At 35.0% G+C, this 22,042-nt stretch overlaps 1 protein-coding gene and 1 long non-coding RNA gene across 50 annotated transcripts in view; one reads left to right on the forward strand and one right to left on the reverse strand.

Moving 5' to 3' along the window:
* SNHG14 (small nucleolar RNA host gene 14) overlaps window positions 1-8,042 on the forward strand; it is a 595,855-nt gene extending 587,813 nt beyond the window's left edge. Inside the window, exon 148 of the long non-coding RNA NR_146177.1 lies at window positions 7,368-8,042. This is a non-coding gene — a long non-coding RNA (small nucleolar RNA host gene 14). The remainder of the gene's footprint in view (window positions 1-7,367) is intronic.
* UBE3A (ubiquitin protein ligase E3A) overlaps window positions 1-22,042 on the reverse strand; it is a 105,329-nt gene that overhangs the window by 77,693 nt on the left and 5,594 nt on the right. For 19 of the 49 annotated variants that reach the window (NM_001354542.2, NM_001354550.2, NM_001354545.2 and 16 more), the window contains exon 2: window positions 488-551. The exons of 6 other annotated variants lie outside the window; for them this stretch is intronic. The gene's annotated coding sequence lies outside the window, so the exon portion shown is untranslated. Of the gene's footprint in view, window positions 1-487; window positions 552-4,289; window positions 4,423-9,235; window positions 9,333-10,505; window positions 10,542-14,745; window positions 16,182-22,042 lie in introns of those variants that run through there. 24 more of the 49 variants (NM_001354540.2, NM_001354543.2, XM_047433018.1 and 21 more) reach the window with 9 other exon arrangements.

Here is a 22,042-nt window from a genome sequence, read left to right on the forward strand (position 1 = left end):
CTCTACTAAAAATACAAAACTTAGCCAGGTGTGGTGGCACACGCCTGTAATCCCAGCTACCTGGGAGGCCAAGGCATGAGAATCACTTGAACCTGGGAGATGGACGTTGCAGTGAGTCAAGAAGGTGCCACTGCACTCCAGCCTGGGCAACAGAGCAAGACTCTGTCTCAAAAACAACAGCAGCAGCAGCAGCAGCAACAACAACAACAAATGAAAGCTATTATTAATACTCATAGCCCAAAATCCAAACCTGCCCTCTCAATCTTTTTATGCATATTATTTTACCTCTCATAGCACACTAATCTCTTGTAAATTTTTTCAGCACCCTACCTGGGTCCCTCATACAGTCTTGGAAGTGTAGTTAGTGAGCACCTGACACAATGCTTTAAAAATGGCAGGGGCCCAAATTTGCTGAACACATCTGTCATTATTATGACATTAAGATACACATGCAATACGAATTCCAAAAAATAAAACAAAAACATACCATATTTCGCCAAACTTCTGAGGAGCTGGTGAATTCTAAAATCAGGCTCTTACAGATTTTTAACCTAAAATATAAAACACCTCACTCAATTCTTTTTACATAAACAACTGGATGAACTTTCAAAAAAAAAGGTACTAAATTTCATCATAAAGGCAAATTTATTTTCTATAATTATGAACATCCAAAAACGTATCAAGAAACAAATTACTGCTGTTGCCGGGATGAGGAAAGCATAGGTAGGCAGGCCCTGTGGCCTGAGTGCTTTCAGCAGGCAAAGCCATATTTCCCATATTCATCCATAAAGCTTAGTGCCTTCTATTTATTTACTCTATCCTCCCTCCAAAAGGGCTAAACACATATGAAAACTATTTGACTATATCCCTCTAATCCTTTCAAATACCTATAGCAATTTTGTTTTTAATTAAATTCTATATGCTAAGCATCGGCTATGTTAGGTACAAATCTGGGCATCTACCACTTTCTAGAGTAGCAGCCTTGGGCCGACCCTCTGACCCTTGAGTCTCCAATGTCAGGTTATTGTAGCAGAGAAAATGCGTTAAAAAGTTATAGTATAATGCCTACCTGGCACAAAACAGGACTTCAATATACGACGATAATTATAATTTATTAAATCAACCACTTAATATATATCAAAACTTAACTCTTAAAAAAAAATCCTGAAGCTTAAAGCAAGCCCCTAAATTATCACTGTAAATTCTTAACTTGTTTGTATACAATCAGAACATTCCTCAATGGAACAAAAATAAAGTCCTTTCATGTACTGCATTACATATAAAGAAAGCAAATCTCAAAGGTTAAGAAACCTATCCAGTGTCCTAGAGGTTGATGGTAGAAAGTGAATACACTGCATATAAAACATTTTGAAATAAAATTAACCAACTTTTAAGGTTTTAGAGACTGACTTTCAAACTTCAGTCTATAATAGAATTACCTGGGGAAATCTAAAAATGCAACTACTTGGGCTCTACTCGCAAAGATTTTCATTCAGTGCATGAAGTAGGGGTAAATGAATTTTTTTTTTAATTTTTTTCAGACCAACCCAAGAACGCAGAAATGAATTTGCATTTTAACATATACTTCACATGACACACAGATCTCATTTTAAGAAGCCCTGCCTTCCAAATTATGAGTTAGGAACACATAATCATGGAGGAAATATACCAAATCTATAAAAATACAGAATAACAAAAACTGTAAGCACTACAAATATTAGGCACACTCACTTGCCAATTTAACCATAAGAATCCTAATACCAGACATAGTTCTCTTACTTTATCTCTTCAACAGAGGGCTCAGTCTAATAATCTTATAAATAAGTATAGTCTAATAATAAATGCCTATGTTGATCTATATCTACCTCCCTAAAATTTTCATTTTATTCATTTCTATTTTTCCTTCACCTCCTTCTAAAGCTGTTTCAAAACTTAATTTCACAAACTGTTTTTTTCTATCACTTTTTATTATAACACCCAACACTTCTGTTCTCCTTTGCATCATGTTTATGGTGTCTTATATTTATGGATAATGCTACTTATTAAAACTGTCTAAGTTTTGTCCGTTTACACATTTCACAATTAAAGGACTACTACAACAATTTTCCTAAGTCCTCCTGCTTTAGTTTCTCCTTATTCCAGTCCATTCTGCAGTTAAGACTTAAAAAGTTTTAAATACTGCTTTCAAATAATACTTGCAACATAATTCCCTCAACTCCATTAGCTCCTCAGAGTACCATTTCTTTATCTTCTTTCCTTTTACTGCCAAAAAGACGTGAAAACCACTAGCTCAGCTGCTATTTTTCTATCTACTGAAATTTTTCTTGTAAAGTTTCCATCATTTCTGTATATTCCCAGTGCTTTGGCCCCTTAATCCTACTTAATTTTTGTAGCTTTTAAGACTGCTAATGACTCCTCACCTCCTCTGGCTTCCCTAATGTTGTATCCACTCATTTTCTTCCATCTCTCTAAAGGCAATAAGGTCTTCTGCTAGTTCATCTTCCTACCTCATACATGGCCTCTCTCCAAGTTTCTGTCAATAGCCACTTTTCTTAACCTAAACCAATTTTCTGCGCAATGTCATCCATTCCCATAGCACCTCTATGCTTACAAACCCCTAACTCTGTATCTTTAAGTCCTTATGTCTGGCATGGTATGCCTGCAACTACATATTACCAACGGTACACATCCATTTGGATGTCTCATTAACATCTACATTCAACGTATCTAATATCAAACTCAATTATTTTCCCAAAGAACTCACTCTGCCTAATCTCACTGTCCTGGTTAAGGACTAAAAAAATTGGTGCCATTCATTACTTTCTCCCCCTCATTTTTATTTGCCCTAACCACTGTGTAGGTTGATACTTGTTCAGCCTTCAAATTCTTCATAATCATTAATTCAAAAACTGTCTACTAGATTTTGAGTGCCTACTAGGTGGATGAAGATGCAGAGGTAGAAAAACTAGACATAATTTCTTGCCCTCATGTGGTGAAGGAAATGGGCACAAATAAAAACCACAATTAATTATGCAATAACAATGCACAGTTAAGTGTTGTGATGGAGAGATACAGGGGGTGTTAAGTTGTGTACTGTAATAAAAAGTCCTTAGTCTGAAGAAAAGGAAAACCATTCTTTATGAGGGACAAGCAAGATTTACAAGACACACTAAGAAAAACCCTGTGAGGTAATGATGGTAGCACTATCAGTCCAGCTGCTCAAATTGGAAGATTCTCAGTCATATTCTAAAGAGTCTCTCTCTTTCCCAGTATATCAAATTGTTTACCAATTGCTACCAATTCATCCTTAGAAATTCCCCTACATTTCTACATTCTCACATTATTCCCCAGTCTTTTTTGATTGCTTTTAGTTGCTTCCAGAATAAAGCCAAAGCTCCCAATCACGTCAGATGAGATTCTACACAATTTGGTCAAAACCTGCCAGTGCAGCCTCTTCTTACAGACTAGACCAGACTTCAAGAGAACATGTGTATCATTTGCTTTTATACTTCCAGTGCTTGCAAATGTTTATAGAATAAGCATCTTACAAAAGAGAAAATTTTTCTCTTAGGGAACTAGCTTTCAGTCCTTTAGTAAATGCAAGGTTAAGATTCAAACCCTAATTTGTCTGATTCTAAAGACCACGCTTATTCCCTTGTACTTGCCTTCTAATTTATACTCAAACCCTATGAATTTCCTTAAAAATATCTCTTACTCCTTTTTTCCTCAAACTTACCAACACTGTCCTACTACAGTGCCCCATTATTTCATCTGGTTTCCCTTTTGCCTTTATCCTCAACTTTGCCACTAGAATTATCTTCCTAAAAACTCAAAGTTACACATATCATTCTATATTCAAAAGCTTTAACACTTTCTCATGCCAACAGAATAAATTTCTAACTCCTTCACATTTTATTTGAGGCCCCTGCCATGTGGCCCTGACCCCAGCCATCCCAGCACTACTGCCCACTATATGACATCATCACCAGTTACCAGATCTAGTCCCATCATTTGACTATTGGCTATAATGTACTGGATATTTGTGTTTCTGACTTCAATGCTTTTGCTTCTGAGGAGACTTCACTCGGAAATGGTCCTCTATCCATTACTAACCTCTATCCCCCACCCACCTATCATGCCATGTTAAAAACTGGCCTCATTCTAAACACTGTATCTCACAGGGTTATCTAAACTCTTATACATAATCACCATCTCCTTCATGTCTTATTATACATTCTTAATACCATAAAATAATTTATTAATTTCTCCTTATATTTATTATGTTATACCTTACATTACAGCTATCTGTATACATTTGTCAGTGCCTCTAGTTGTAAGCTGATTGATGGTAGGGATCATCTCTTCCATATTTTACTTTTCGTAATAATGGTGACTATGTTTTCTTGACACCATACCTCCCCTCTACAAGAAAAAAAAAAAAAAAAAAAAGGAATCAGGACCCATGGCCTTTGAGCTAGTTCCAAATGTGACTCATAGATGAACAAAGATACCATTTCTTCCCAAATTAACACAAATATAAGTAAATGCCAATTTAAGAAACGTTTTTTCAAAGACTAAATATGTAAGAATAACCAAAACAATTGTTTCTAATAATGTTCCTTTCTCTACCAGATATTAAAACATATTAACTTAAATGGAATAATTAAAATCGGCATGCCTTTAAAAAACTGAGTATACACTAAATATATGCATACCTTATGACTTAAAAATTTCACTCTTAAGTATACCAAACAGAAGTAAACATATTCACAAGAAGACAATCACTGAAATGTTTAGAGCAGCAGCAATATTCTTAACAGTTCCAAACCAAAAATGATTAAATGTCCGTAACAGCAGATTAAACTATGGCATATTCTTAAAATGGAATATCACTTCCATTCTTAAAATGGAATATACAGCGACTATCATAAACAATTACTACAACCAACAATGTGAATAAATCTCACAAATACATTAAAAGAAGTCAGACACAACTAAATGTGCTTGATTCTAGTTAAAGGATGAAAACAGGCAAATCTAATCTATGCTATGAGAAGTCAGGACAGTGGTTACACATGGAAGAAAAGGGGTAGTGACACAGAGCACAAGGGGCTACGCAGGAGCTGCTGCTGTTTTTTGATCTGAATGCTAGCTAAACGGGTGCTCAGTGTGTGAAAGTGCAACAAGCTATACACTTAGAAGTGTATAGCTTAAAACATTCTAAAAAAAAAAAAAAAAACCTCATATGGTATTAGCATTAGACAAAGAGGTAAGCACAACAAGCACAACAGAAAGCTAATTTCAGAGAAAGATCCGAAAGTATCTGACAGTTGCTCCTTCTCAAACGAGAATTTTCAGACCTTGGATAACAGGCAGCAGAGGACTATAATGCATGAAAGGACAAAAACAAAGGAGGTGAGCCATCCACTGCTTGGATGTCTGCCTGGAGGTAATTTCCAACCTGCAGTCAATGGAGGGGAAATCCAGTGAGAAGACAGCAGTTTTACTGAGTTCAGAATCAAGAGATCAGAGCTGAGAAAGCTGAAGTGGGTAAAATTGATGACAAGTGCCAGACAAGTGCTTGTCTGAGAAGGCAGAGAAATGGCTTCAGAAATCTGCCATTTGAGAGTCCACTGCTGAGTACTAACTGTACACGATTAAGGTAAGTGACTCCATGAAGCTAGTGAAAGAGGGGCAGTAAGCTGAAATATTCCCAGTACTTATAAAGGACTGGGAGACTCCTAAAATTCTCTCTAACCTGAGTGAAGAGAACACGGTGACACTGGGAGCATTTAGTAAAGACTCAGAAGGATCATGCCTTAGGTAGGAGCTACTACCATTAAAGCAAAGCCTTCTCTAGACAAACTCCAATGTAGCCCTGAAGGGATAAAACTGACCAGCAAGTTATTTAGGTGGCTACAAAACAAAACACTCTAAAAGAAAACAAAATCTAGACACCCAACAACAAAATATTACAATGTCCAGCATCCAATCTTAAAAAATCATTAAATATGTAAAAAACAAAAAATAAAATAAAATAAATACTAGGAAAATACAACCCATGACCAAGAGAAAAAACCAACCAACAAATTCAGAGTGAAAAAATTCAAGAAATCAATAAGTAACCTGATTTTCAAACAGCTATTACAAATATGCTCAAGAATTCAAAAAAATACATGAATAAAATGAATCAAATGGAATTTCTTGAAATATAAAGCGAAATATCTGAAATTATTTAACAAGGGAGGAGAAAAAACAGTAAAATAGAAGACAAAGCAAACTGAAGCACAGGGAAATAAAAAGACTGAAAAATAATGAATATGATGTTAATGACCTGTGGATAATACCAAACAGTCTAACATATGTGTAACTGGAGTCCCAGAAAAAGAGGAAATGATGAAAGAGGAGTAAAGGTGGTAAAAAATATATATATAGAAGAAACAATGGCAACAATCTTCCAAATTTAAGGAAAACCATAAATGTACAGATTCAAAAAGAAAAAAAAAACAAAACCCCAACAACTCTCAGCATGGTAATCATTGTGCAAATATCATAGAACGTACTTACACAAATCTAGATTAGATGGTATAGCTTACTACAGAACTAGGATACATGGTATAGCCCGGGTGCTCCTAGGTTATAAAGCTGTACAGCATGTTACTATACTGAATGAATACTGTAAGCAACTGTAACAAAGTGTAAGTATTTATACATCTAAACCTAGAAAAGGTACAGTGAAAATATGGTGGTATAATCTTAAATGACTATTGTCAACTATGATCTCGTTGACTGAAATGTCAGCATGCGGCACATGACTGTATAACCAGACTTCTCATCAAAAACAAATGCTGAAAGAAAAACACATCAACTAACCAAGAAAAAAGAAACATATATGTCCACACAGAGACTTCTTTTTTTACACAAATGTTCATTGTACCTTTTTATAATAGCTGGGAACTGAAAACAGCCTGGAACTGAAAACAGCCCAGGTGTCCCTTAACAGATGAAGTCACAAACCACCGAAACATTCAACAATATGGATGAATCTCAAAAACATTATGTTGAGCAAAAAGAAACTTTTTACAACATATAAGTATTGTATGACTCTACTTACATAAAGTTCTGCGCAAGCTAAACTAAGATGAAAACAATCTGAACAATGTTAGGTTCTAGGGGTGGTGTGGGGGGAAGGAATAACTAGGAAGAGGTGTAGGTTCTATACCCTGATAGAACTTTCTGGCAAAGGTGTATACATTTGTCACAGCTCATGAAATGGTATATGTGGTCAACTGTATTTTCCAAAGATGGTCACAATAGAAGCCATTCCACATGCTCTTAACAATGTAACACTGTCATTTTTTCATCAGGTGGTGGAGTCTATGGCCCTTCTCCTTGAATCTGAGTGAAATTAGTGAGTCTTTCAATCCAAAGACTACAGTCATACCTCAACTATCTACAGAGGACTGGTTCCAGGACTCCCATGGATCCCAAAATCCAAGGATGCTTCGAATCCCTTATATAAAATGGCATGGTATTTGCATATAACCTACATGCATCTTCAAATATGTTAAACCATCTCTAGATTACTTATAATACCAAATACAATGTAATGCTATGTAAACAGTTGTTACAATGTATTGTCAAAGACAAGCTCTCCTTGCCAATCCCTGACCAAATGAGAGATTCATGAGCAAAATAAATAGTTGCTGATATTTAAGGCACTAAGTTTGGGGCAATGTATTACACAGCAATAAATAACTGGAACAGCATAGTAAATTCTAGTTAAAAATACTAAACTACTAAGTTTTAGTTAACATACATGCTCAAGTTAAGGGTGTGGTATACTAACAACTGCAACTTACTTTGAAAAGCATAAAAAAAGACACTAGAAGAAGACAGGATGGATAGATGGACAAGATAGAAGACAATAACAAATAGAACAAAATGTTGTGAAATTATATTCTACAATTATTTTAAAGTCTGTGTGGTTTGAAAAATTGTACGATAAAATGAAGAGTGAAATAAAGACATTTCCATACAAACAAAAGCTGAAAGATTTTGTAGCCAGTAGACCTATACTTTAGAAATGTTTAAGAAATTTTTTCAAGTAAAAGGAAAATAACACCAGCAACAAACTTGGATCTACAAAAAGGAATCTCCACAAAGAAAAATAAATAAAAATGGTAAATATGAAGGTAAATATAAAGGAATGTTATTCTTAGTTTTTAAGTTTCTTCGTAAGACAACTGGCCTTTGAAAGAAATAGTTTCAAACGCTGCTGTGGAATCTATAACACATATAGAAGTAAAATGTTAAGATCATAATACCAAAAAGAATGAGGGAGAGTAAATGGATGTATACTATTCCAAAATTCTTACATTATACATTAAGAGGAATAATATTTTTGAAGGTAGATTGAGGTAAGTTAAAGGTGCATATTGTAAATCCTAGAAGTATCACTGGGGGGAAAAAAAACAGAGGGACAAGCTAATAATGGAGACAATACAAAATTCCAAAAATGCTCCATTAACCGAAAAGAAGGCAGAAAAGGAAGAAAAGATTAGACAAATAGAAAACAAATAGTGTCTTAAACACAATTATATTGCCAACTGCAATAAATGTAAATGGACTTAATCAAAAAGCAACGATCGTAAAAAGTCAATCTGAAAGCAAGATGCAACTATATGCTATCTAAAAGAAAGACATTAAATGACCAATAAGCTGAAAATAAAAACACAGCAAAATGATATAATGTGCAAAAATTAATCATAAGAAAGGAATGGATACACTAATATCAAAGTAGACTTTAGATAAGGAACATTACCAGCGATAAACAGAGACATTTCATAATGATAAAGACATCAATTAATCAAGGAGATCTAACAGTCCTAAATGTGAACACACCTAAGGACACAACTTTAAAGACTTTGCTTCAAAGCATATGAAGAAAAAATGAACAGAGCAGAAGGAAGATAAACTCAAAATTATAGTTGAAGATTTCAACATTCCTCTCTCGGTAATTAGTAAGTGGACAGAAAATCAGTAAGGATACAGAAGAAATACATTTATCTATCTGACAAAGAACATATGTTCTGAAAAGAATGTGAAAATATTTGAACAGACACACAAAAGAAAACTTCTCAACAGCAGTCATGAAGAAAATGTAAATTAAGACCATAATGACTTTTTACACCCATTAGAATGGCAATTATTTTAAATAAAAAACAGAAATTACCAAGTGTTAGAAAAGATGCAGAGAAATTGGAACCCTTATTCACTGCTGGTGGGAATGTAAAATGGTGCAGTCACTGTGGAAAACAGTATGGCAGTCTCTAAAAAAATTAAACATACAATTACCACATGACCCAGCAATTCCACTCCTAAGTACATAACCAAAAGAATTAAAAGAAGGGACTCAAACAGATACTTATATACCAATGTTCATAGCAGCATCATTCACATAGTTAAAAGTTACAAAGAGTCCAAATGTCCACTGACAAATAAATAAATAAAACAAAAAGTGATATATGCACACAATGAAATATTACTCAACCTTAAAGAATCAAATTTGGATACATGCTACAACATGAATGAACTTTGATGACTGATACGGTTTGAATATTTGTCCTGCCCAAATCTCATGTTAAAATATAATCCCCAATGTTGGGGGTGGGGCCTGGTGGGAGGTAACTGGGTCATGGGAGCAATCCCTCATAGCTTGGTGCTCTCCTTGGGATACAGAGTGAGTTCGCAGATGTGGTCGTTTAAAAAGGGTGTGCCACTTCCCCACCCTCTCTCTTGCTCCTGCTCTCGCCATATGACACGCCTGCTCCCCCTTTGCCTTCCACCATGAGTAAACTCACCATGAGGGCTCCCCAGAAGCTGAGCAGATGGTGGCGCCATGCTTGTACAGCCTGCAGCACCAGGGGCCAAATAAACTTCTTTTCTTTTTAAATTACCCAGTCTCAGATATTCATTTAAGGCAACGCAAGAATGGCCTAACGCAAGGACATTATTATTATTAAATGAAATGTGCCAGACACAAAAGGACAAAAATCGTATGATTCCACTTATATGAAGTACCTGGAAGAGTCAAATTCACATATGAAGTAGAACAGTGATTACCAGCAGATAGGGAGAGTAGGCAATGAAGAGTTACTGTTTAATGGATAGGGTTTCAGACTGAGAAGATGAAAAAGTTTCAGAGATGGATAGTGGTGATGGCTGCAGAATAATGTGAATGTACTTTATGTCACTGAACTGTACACTTAAAAATAGTTAAAATGGTATATTTGATGTTGTGTATTTTAGTACCACTTAAAAAAAAACACTGCAATGGGATACCACTACACACCTCTCAGAACGTGTGCAATTAAAGACTGAGAACATCAAATGCTGACATTTGGAGAACTGGAACTCTCATACACTGATGATGGGAATGTAAAGTAGTATAATCATCTGGAAAATAGTTTGGCAGTTCCTTATACATTTAAACATAAACTTACCATGTGACCCAGTAATTCCAATTTAAGGTATTTACCCTAGAAAAATGAAAACATATGTTCACACAAAAACATGCACACAAAACAGTACCTTTATTCGCAACAGCCTAAAACTGAAAACAATTTAAATGTTCACCAGAAAATGAATGAACTGTGGTATAGTCATATTGTATTTAAAAAAACGAAACAAACAAAAATCTGTGACAAACACAAATTGGATGAATCTCAAAAACATGCCAAGTGAAAGAAACCAGGCATGGAAGAGTACATGTTACTTGATTCCATGGATATGCAATTCTAGAGTAGGAAAACTAATAAACAGATCAGTGGTTGCCTGGGGCCAAGAGGGAGAAATGACTACAGACAGGAAGGAACTTTTTGGAGGTAATTCAATTGTTCTAAAGCTTGATTGTAGTAGCAGTGATAGTGTATATATTTATCAAAATCAATAAAACTATATAGTTAAAATGGGTGCATTTCATTGTGTATCAATTATACATCAATAAACTTGATTTTTTTCAAAGTTTGTGAGAACTTAATATAGAAAAAGGTGGCATTATCAGTGGGGAAAGGATGCCTTACAAGACAATCAGCTACCCAAGTGGAAGAAAATAAAAGGTAGATATAATTCCCAAACCATGACAAATGCAATCCAGATCTAAACCATATCATACCATATCCAAAAATATGCTGAATGCTCATATCTAACTTTCTAAATTAAAGTCTATAAAGTAAAATCACAAAAGTATCAGAAGAAAATACAAGAGATTGGCCAGGTATAGTAGCTCATGCCTGTAATCCCAGCACTTTGGGAGGCTGAGGTGGGAGGATAGCTTGAGGCCAGAAGTTTGAGACCAGTCTGGGCAACACACTGAGATACGTTCTCTACCAAAAAAAAAAAAAAAAACCAACCAACCAAAAAAAAACCAACTAGCTATAGTGGCACATGTCTATAATCTTAGCTACTTGGGAAGCTGAGGCAGGAGGATCACTTGAGCCCAGGAGTTTGAGGTTGCAGGGAGCTATGGTTGCTCCAGCCCGGGTGACAGAGTGAGATCCTATCTCTAAAAAGTTTTTGTAATATATATATGAGATCATATTTATATCAACTTTGTTAGCATGCTGAAACCCAGAAACCATAAAAGATGGACAGATTTGCCTACATAAAAACTTTAAAATTTCACATGACTAGATACTATAAAATTAAAGGTAGGTAGAGATAATATTTGCAAATTATAATAAAGAATTAAATGATATATAAAGAATGCTTACAAATTTAAAAAACAAACACCACAATAGAAATGGACCAAAAAACCAGGCAATTTCCCAGGTTATTTATAAAGACTTAAACAGATTTTATATATACATGAATCAAAACAAGGTAAATGAGCAGTCCCTAATATATTTTAAGGAATGAAACTTGCTAAAATTATTTTTTAAAAGGTAATTGGCAAAACCTATCAAATATTTAGATTGACATGATCTAATGGCCTGACATCTTATTTGTAGGAATCTACCTTACAGAAAAAATAACAGGTACCATCATTGCAAAAGCAAATATTGAAAACAACCGAATTTCCAAAACAGGCAAAGGGTCTCATAACATCATGAACTCTCAGAGTTAATTCCTAGTTCAGTTCTAAAGATTGAGAGAACACATCAGATTTAGAGTATTCCATCTCAGGTTTCTCAAGGACAATTTTTCATTAAGGCCTAATTTATTATATTTTAAAACATGCTTTTCCATCCTTTTTTCTGTTTTTCCTCTTTTCCCCCCACAAGCTTATATGGTAAAATTACCTGTAGTTAAGTGGGCATGTGATATGATGCACAGATTTAATGCAATAATTTATAAGAATTATCCAACTCCATTCTCTCAGCTGCTCTGGTCAAAAAACTTTGGCATCATGTTTTACTCCTCCCTTTATTTCCCACTTTCATCTGGTCTACTACCAAATCCTATGGACTCTATTTCAACATATATCAAGAATTCAACCACTTCTCACCACCCTCACTGTGACCACTCTGTCCATTTCAGTCACGTCTTAATCTGTACTAATGGTCTACCAATTGGTCTGTTTCTGCCCTTGTCCCCTTTTTCAGTCTATGATTAACACAGCAACCAGAGTGACCTTGCTAAACATAAGTCATACTTTTTCACTACTCTGCTCAAAGACTTCCAATAGCTTCCCATCTCACTTATAGGTAAAAATCAAACACCTTATTATGATCAAAATATCTGTACCCTCCATTCTCTCTATTTCCCATCAATTACTTTTCTAAAGCTACACTGGCCACACCTCGAGTTCTTCAAACACATCAGGCACTCTCACTTTGGGGTTTCCCTATTCACTACACTCTGCCTGAAATGCTCTTCCCCCAAATATCCACATGGCTAGCTCTCTCATCTCCCTCAGTTCTTCACCCAAGTTACCATTTCAGTGAAGTTTTCTCTACCTACCCTATCTAAAATTTCCCATCATCCTTTTCACCTGCAAACACTTCCCTTATTTGTTTCTTCTCCTTAGCACTATGTAACATATATTTTACCTATCTTTATGATCTCTTTTTAGGATTTAAGTGCCATGAAAGCAAAGGACTGAGTGGGTTTTATACACTGCTGTCTCTACCAGGACCTAGAAAAAAAGGCCCACTACACAGTAGGTGTTCAAGAAATGTTTACTAAGTGAATCAGATGGATGTGTATGTAGCCAACCATTTGAAAGATTCCTATAACACAGTTAAGAGGAAAAAAAAATTATATGAAACACAAGTTTTAGTACACAAAAATCTATGCACAAGGAATTAAAAACCTGAAATGAAATTTTAAAAAATTCAATTTGCAATACCATCAAAACATAAAATTCTTAGAAATAAATTTTTAAAGTAATAAGTACAAGACCTGTATACTGAAAACTACAAAACATGAAAGAAATTAAAGAACACCTTAATAAATGGAAAGATATCCCATGCTCATGAATGAGAAGACAGTATTAAGGTAGCAATACTTCCCAAATAGACCTACAGATTCAACACAAATCCAAGTCCTATTAAAATCCCAGTTGCATTTTTTTGCAAGCTAACCCTAAAATTCTATGGAAATTTGAGAAACCCAGAGACCCAAAACAATTTTGAAAAAGAATAAGTTAGAATACTCACATTTCCTGGTTTCAAGACTTACTACAAAGCTACAGTAATCAAGAGTGTGTGTTACCCAAAAAAAACAGACATACATGTCAATGAACATACCTTGAAAATACCATGGTAAGTAAAAGAACCCACACACAAAAGGACACATACTGTATGATTCCCATTTATATGAAATATCCAGAATAAATAAATTCATAGAGACAAAGCAGATTAGTGGTTTCCAGAGGCCAGGAAAGAATGGGGAATGGCTGCTAACAGGTTAGGATTTATTTTGGGGATGATGAAAATGTTCTAAAATTCAATAGTGGTGATGGCTGCAGAACTGTGAATATACTAAAAACTTTAAAAGGGTGAATTTTATAGTATGTGAATTATCTCAATAAAGCTATTAACAGTTTTGAAAGTTAGAGAATATGTTTGGTAGGATTTTTTTTAAATACTGCCTCCCCAAAAGGAAAAAAGCTGTATGTATATCAGTACTTTTACAGCTATCTTACATTTTATATTTGATTGGTAATTTCCTTCCAGGCATTTTTTTCCCTCTACAGTTAAACACACTTAACAACTGTTAAGTTTTAGAATTGGCTATGAAGCGAAGAGAAACCTTTCATTTCTTCTTATACTTAAAAAAAAATAGCTTTTTATTTTTCTTTTCTGTATTTCCTCATCCTCAAAAATAGATTCTACACACCAATATTTGAGGGATGGTGGGGCAACTACCACAAAATACAAGAGGCTCTCTTCTGGAAATGTAAAAATGTTAGAATTCCTAGGAACTTTTCATGATTTATGAGCCTAACCTAACATTTAAAACTGAGCCCATGCTGGTAAATCTGGGCTACACAGTCATACATACATAGAACTCTGGAATCACAACACATCCACTGTGCACTGGAAGAGTACTGTAATCTCCTTCTAATGTGCACCTTGGCTCTCCCCTCCCTTGGGTTCTTTGAAATTTTTTTTTTAAATAAGGTATGTTTATTTCTTATTTACCTACTAACTACAGAAGGTAGACTCACAATGTGCCAATATTAAAATGTTATCATTCCTCATTAAAATATTTACTTAAGTGTTTTATTACATGACTTACCAGCAATGGAAGAATCTCATCTGAGAGTAGTTCTCAACTGTCATCTATGAAAATCTTTAGAAATACCAAATCATCAGAATTACTTTAATTTCCTGGCTTTTAATCATAAAGCATTCCTACTGGTCAACAATTCTACAATCTGAAAACAGGGACATCTGTACCATATAGTCCCAATGATTTATTATTCTGAAATTTTCCTCTGGGTTATTTTTACACTGTAATTAGAGTTCAAACTTCCATAGCGCCTAGCCTAAAATTAAACCCAGAATTATGCCAATTTATGCCTGCTATATATGCACACACAAAAGACTTATAATGCAATATACTAAAAGAACTAAAGGTAGGTGGGTTTTTCCTTGAAGGAATCATAGCTACATTATTTTCAAGTTTAATCTGTTACATTCACCTGCCTATCAAATAAATGTAGCACTTAAACGCATAAAACAAAATTTGATTTAGTGACAAAAAACCATTAGCTTCTAATTTAACTTCAAAACGCTTTTCAAAAAATCTACCCCATCTAATTCTAAGTGAACCAGACCACACTTGATAGAAAACTGTTGTTCTAAAAACCATACGTACTTAACACAAACAGTAAACATATGAGAACATTTAGTCTTCTATTAATGTCTTACAAAATATTTCAATGTGGCTGGTTATAATTTTTTTTTTTTTAAGGGACAGGGTCTGTCACCGCGGCTGGAGTGCAGTGGTGTGATAACAACTCACTGCAGCCTGGAACTCCAGGGTTCAAGCAATCCCCCCACCTCAGCCTCCCAAGCTGGGCTAATTTTATTTTTCATAGGGATAAGGTCTCACTTTGTTGCCCAGGCTGGTCTCCAATTCGTGGCCTCAAGTGACTCTCTCACCTCTGCCTTATATTTCCGTTTGAGCTGTTATTATCAACTGGAGTAACATTTCTAGTTGGGGAAAAAAGAACTGATCCTTATCTGTAGATGAACACTTATACATTCAGCACTTACAAATAACTGAATGTGGGCATGAAAAAAAGAATGACAGATGATAAACATTTACTGTTCTCAAAATAAATTACCTAATCTCAGTTGAGATAAACACGACTCAGAATTCAATTAACAGTATAATATAAAGAAGCCCCAAACCAATGAGTGCAAAAAGAAAGACTCTCAAGGAAGGCTTCCCTGAGTAATATTTAGGTTGAGCCCTATAAGATAGAAGGAAGATGGATAACTCAAGAAACTAAAAGCAGCCTGTGTGGTAAGATGGTACTGACCAAAGGGGAATGCACAGGAAGGTAAGGCTCAGAAAGTAGACAGAACCCTATCAAAGCAAAATTTTAAATAGAAAGCACTCTTCTATTTCAAAATAACTGTTATTTGTTCACAATAATACAAAGGAATTATAAACTACTAAAACTAACAAACCAAAGTGGGCAACATAGGAAGACCCCATCTCTACAAAAAAAAAAAAAAAAAAAAAAAAAAAAACCCACAAAACTTAGCAGGGCCTGGAGGTGCCTGCCTGCAGTCCCAGCTACTTGGGAGGCTGAGGCAAGACTATCGCTTGAGGCCAGGGGGTTCAAGGATGCAGGGAGCTATGATCATGGCACTGCACTCCAGCCTGGGGAAGAGAGGGAGACCCTGTCTCCTGGAAAAAAAAAAAAAAAAAAAAAGGTGGGTGGGGTGGGGAGAATTCAATAATTAGGACGAATAGACTTTAAAATGTAGTTTATACACACAGTGGAATACTACTCAGCTATAAAAATAAGAATAAAACCCTGTAATTTGCAGGAACACGGATGGAACAAGAAGCCATTATGTTAAGTGAAATAAGCCAAACACAGAAAGACAAATACCACATGTTCTCACTCATACATGGGCTAAAAAAGTATATCTCAAGAAGATAAGCATAGACTGGTGGTTACTAGCAGCCGAAGTGGGGAGTGAGAGGACAAAGGCAGAAGAACATAACTGTATTTATTATTGCTGAACTGTACACTTAAAAAACTGTACACTTAAAAAATCATTAAAAATGAACTGTACACTTAAAAAAGATGGTAAATTATGTATGTATATTTAACCTCAATACAAAATTTTAAAAATTCAATACTTAATGCTGGAACAACTAGCTTTTCATATTTAAAATAAAAAATCCTAACTCCTTTCAGATGAACCTAAATGCAAATAACAAAGAGTAACAAAAAATCCTCAACTATTAGCAGACAATATAAAAAGAGGATTTCTTAAACAAAAAGCACAATCATAAAGAAAAAGACATGATTTTTACATCAAAAATTAAGGCTCATACTACCAGAGAATACTACAATGGGCAGGATTTTATATTTTACTCTTATTCTGGTAACTTTCTTTGGCTGCACTGTAAAGTAAGAAGGTTGGATGAAATGATCTTCATGGTCCTTTTCAACATAAATGTTGTACGATAGTGTGCCTTTCCTTTAAAAACATTTATTTTTGAGATATTTAAAACATACAGAAAATAATAAATTTCCTATCCTTTTACCTACGATTCAGAATAATCAAGCAACTGTAAATTAAAATGAGATAGCATTTCACATGCCTCAAATTAGTAACTATTTTAAAATCTGACAATCCCAAGTATGGGTGAGGATGCTAGAAATGCCCACATAATGCTGATAAAGTATACATGGGCATATCCATTTAGGAAAAGAATTTACCAATATCTAGTAACCAGCAATTTCACTTCTACGGTTTTTCCCAAAACACCTGCACATACACTCATGTAAAAATAAACACTGCAGCATTATTTATAATAGCAAAAAGAAAACAACTCAAAATATCCATCAATAGTGGGACACATACATTTTATCTATGCATAAAATGAAGTGCCATACAGCAGTGAAACTGAATAAACTACATGTACACGCATCAACATATACACCTCAAAAACTTGATACTGAGTTTAAAAAAATCAAGCTATTGAAAGACAGCGTTATACATGTCTGTAAAAATTTAATACAAAAACCAACACCACATATCACTTACAGATACATGTACACATGTATAGTAAAAGTATAAAACAAGGATGTGAAATTTACTTAAGAATCTCAAGACAGTTGTTACTTTGTGTAGAGACGGGTAACAGGACTTGAACAGTTGGGGTTGTTAAAAGTGATTATATAACTGCATCCTTTCCCCCAAGGGATAAAAATGGACATAATTTATATTTCCAGGTGGTGGATAAATAGGCACTTGCTATGTCATTTTCTGGATGTTTTAAAAATTTTACAATTAAAACATATACACTTATTTTAAAAACAAACAAAAGACATATTAGCATATAATGTCCAAGCTGATAATTACCTTGGAAGATTATCTAATATAAACCTCCCTACTTCACTAAAAACAAAATTACAAAAGATATCAGAATAAAAATATGATACAGGCTGGACGCAGTGGCTCATGTCTATAATCCCAGCACTTTGGGACGCCAAGGCAGGAGGATCACTTGAGCCCAGGAGTCAAGACCAGGCTGGGTAATATAGTGAAACTTCATCTCTACAAAAACAAACAAACAAACATTTTTTTAAGAATGTAATAGGATTGGTGTGGTGGCTCATGCCTGTAATCCCAGTGCTTTCAGAGGTTGAGGCAGGCAGATCACCTGAGGTTAGGAGTTTGAAACCAGCATGGCCAACATGGTGAAACCCTGTATCTACTAAAAATACAAAAATTAGCCGGGCGTGGTAGTGCACACCTGTAGTCTCTGCTACTCAGGAGGCTGAGGCAGGAGAATCACTTGAACCCAGGAGGCGGAGGCTGCAGTGAGCTAAGACTGCACCATTGCACACCAGCCTGGGCAACAGGGCGAGACTACATCTCAGGAGGAAAAACAAAAAAAAACCTATATATATATATATATATATATTTATATGTATTATATATATATAATACATATATATAAGATTATATATATATTATATATATAATACATATATATAAGATTATATATATATTATATATATAATACATATATATAAGATTATATATATATTATATATATAATACATATATATAAGATTATATATATATTATATATATAATACATATATATAAGATTATATATATATTATATATATAATACATATATAAGATTATATATATAATATATATAATACATATATATAAGATTATATATATATTATATATATAATACATATATATAAGATAAATACTATTGTAGCAGGGCAATTTTGGACAAATACTAGGTTATCTGAAACAGCACTTTGGGGAATTAGATCTTGACCATTTAAGAGAGAGATTAGCCCCAGTTTCTCAAAATCTGGCACTGACTAGCAATATGGACAATGTGTGCACCGCCCTCGTTCCACCTCCCCTCCTAGGAATGCCATGTCAAATTCAGCACAGGCATAGGCAGTAAAACTGACCCCTAGTTCTGCCTATCACTATTTAAAATTACTTTAAGTGTTGAGGACTGTCCCCACAGCAGATATCTAAAAGTAGGCCTGAAAGAACTAGAAAGTAGTTCATGCATCCAGCAGTTACAAGTGCCTAAAACTGTACATGAAAAAACAAAACAAAGAAATGAACTGAGAGCAAACATTTACTGTTTTCTTATAATCTTCAATCCAGGATTTAAGAAATTATTTAATATCAGTTGAGATACGTGACCAACCCATTCTCCAGCTGAGATCCATCTATTTTTAAATTCACTCCCCCAGCCTTTCATTCAGCCTAAAAGAGGGAATAAGAATGGGAAGGTGGGAAGGACTTATCCCATACTGAGTTAAATAAGACCACAAGATCTTTTCATTTTTACAATATTTGAAATACAGTACACTGAGCAATAAATTTAAAGAAATATGCATGATTTGAAATGCAGAAATCTTGATTTATGTGTATAAAAGACCAAAATTAGCTCAGTTCGTCTAATACACTACACTTAAGTGTTCTTCAATACTACAGTCAACTTTTCAGAAATATTCCCATTCTGTGAAGCAGGATGTATTCCTACCTTGATTACCAAACTTTATCCACGTAACTTCCTATTCTCCCACTCTGTTCTTTAAACATGTTCAACATGTTACAGAGATGGCAAAATGTGTTACAAAAGGGAATGAGAATGAAGCAGCTTAAGTAATTAGGAAAACTTTACACTTCTTAGAAACTGAATTTGAATGATCTTAAACAGCATATTTTCTTTTCTTTTCTTTTCTTTTTTGAGATGAAATCTTGCTTGCCCAGGCTGGAGTGCAATGGTGTGATCTCAGCTCACTGCAACCTCTGCCTCCCAGGTTCAAGCGATTCTCGTGCCTCAGCCTCCCAAGTAACTGGGATTACAGACGTGTGCCACCACGCCTAGCTAATTTTTGTATTTTTAGTAGAGACAGGGTTTCACCATGTTGGCCAGGCTGGTCTCGAACTCCTGACCTCAGGTGATCCGTGTGCCTCGGCCTCCCAAAGTGCTGGGATTACAGGAGTGAGCCAAGGCGCCCAGCCTAAACAGCATATTTTCAATCACCAACACACAACATGACCACTGACTTCAGAAAACTAGGAAAGAAAAATGTTACCCAATTAATCTTTGTGTGAAACAGGATTTATCCATTAGTATACGTATCACATACCATAGATGCACAAAAGATTTTTTCAATTCCCAAAACAAAAACTTAAAATATTTAGCAAAGATAATATAAAAATCCTTATTTATGGCACGCTGTAAGATTATCAATATTGGTGCATATAACCACAGAGGCACAATAGAATTCTTAGGAAAAATGTATTAAGACAATTAACAAGCTGGAAATAACCCATATTTCCCCTTATGACCCATTAGCTTTATATAGAAAACACTGCTGTGCACTTCATCCTTTGCTTTCTAAAGAACAGCATTATGGTTCACATCTGTTAAGAGACAAAAAAGTATTTGTTGGAAGTACGAAAGGAAGAAATTCCTGTACTGTTACATGCAGTGCCAAAGGAATCATCTGAGAAGAAAATAAAGAACATGAGTTTAACATGAGCTTTAGAGAGGGATTACAAGAGTGCAAGAAAGTGACAAAATGTGACATATGTCCATAGTGAATACATGGTGCTTTATTGTTTTCAGTATTTCTATATTTAATTAGGAGGTGGAAAGTTTCAGAATTTATTCTGCATCACAAAGATTATAAAAATATATGAGTTGGGGTGTTGGCTACAGTACACAAAGGCAATTCTAAGACTACTTATTAACAGAAGCTTGAAATGGAAAAGCCATCCCTTCTGATTTCATTACATGAAAAGAACCTGTGTAGAAGTACAGCAATGGTAGCATCTTCATTCAGCCCACAGCTATGTAATTTGTATGCAAGAGTGCTTGTCTTAAATATGAAAAGGAACATCCTGAATTGCTGAAAGTATATACAACGGGCACACATCCAGAACTAGGAAAGAGCTACCAAGCCTGCATGCTACGAAGACATGGGTCAAAAAATTTTTCTCATGTTTGGTTTCTATAACTAAAGTCTGTGCTAGACTAACCTCAATTGATCCTGAGGAGATGAACTTCTGGAACACACAAAACTGTTAAGAGTCACAGCATTAGACTCTACACTGTCCAGCCAACAGTTTTAAGAAAAATTTTATCCTACTTGTATGAGTGTTCAGGGCTCATATACTACCTCTATGCTCTTACTTGAAACACAGATGCAGACCTTAATAAATAAAGTCTTACATCAGACTCTCTTCTATAATTCACATGTGATTCCTTACACGAGATTCCTGTTCAGATTTCCTGAAAATGAACTATAGGAATAATCTTATCCAATATGATTCTATGTCCCCTAAAAATATCTTTTCCTTTCAGGTCAATCTTATGATTCACTTGCCATTGATCAGATTAACACAACAGGTCTGGTACAGCAAATTACAAAAGAGATTTGACTTTTGATTAATACACTGAATAATGTATCACAAACTATTAAGATCCATTGTCCATGTCAAATGGAGTTCACATATTTAAAATGAATTCACACACTAAAAATTCCCCAAAACAACGTTTCTAAAAAGTTTTTTTTTTTTTCTTTGAGAGGCAGTCTCACTCTGTCGCCAGGCAGTAGCATGATCTTGGCTCACTGCAACCTCCGCCTCCCGTGTTCAAGCGTTTCCCCTGCCTCAGCCTCCTGAGTAGTTGGGACTACAGGCATGCGCCACCACGTCCGGCTAATTTTTTTTTTGTATTTTAGTAGAGATGAGGTTTCACCGTGTTGGCCAGGATGGTCTCGATCTCCTGATCTCGTGATCCGCCCGCCTCGGCTTCCCAAAGTGCTGGGATGACA

The sequence above is a fragment of the Homo sapiens genome, chromosome 15, assembly GCF_000001405.40.
Source record: "Homo sapiens chromosome 15, GRCh38.p14 Primary Assembly".
Classification (NCBI taxonomy): domain Eukaryota; kingdom Metazoa; phylum Chordata; class Mammalia; order Primates; family Hominidae; genus Homo; species Homo sapiens.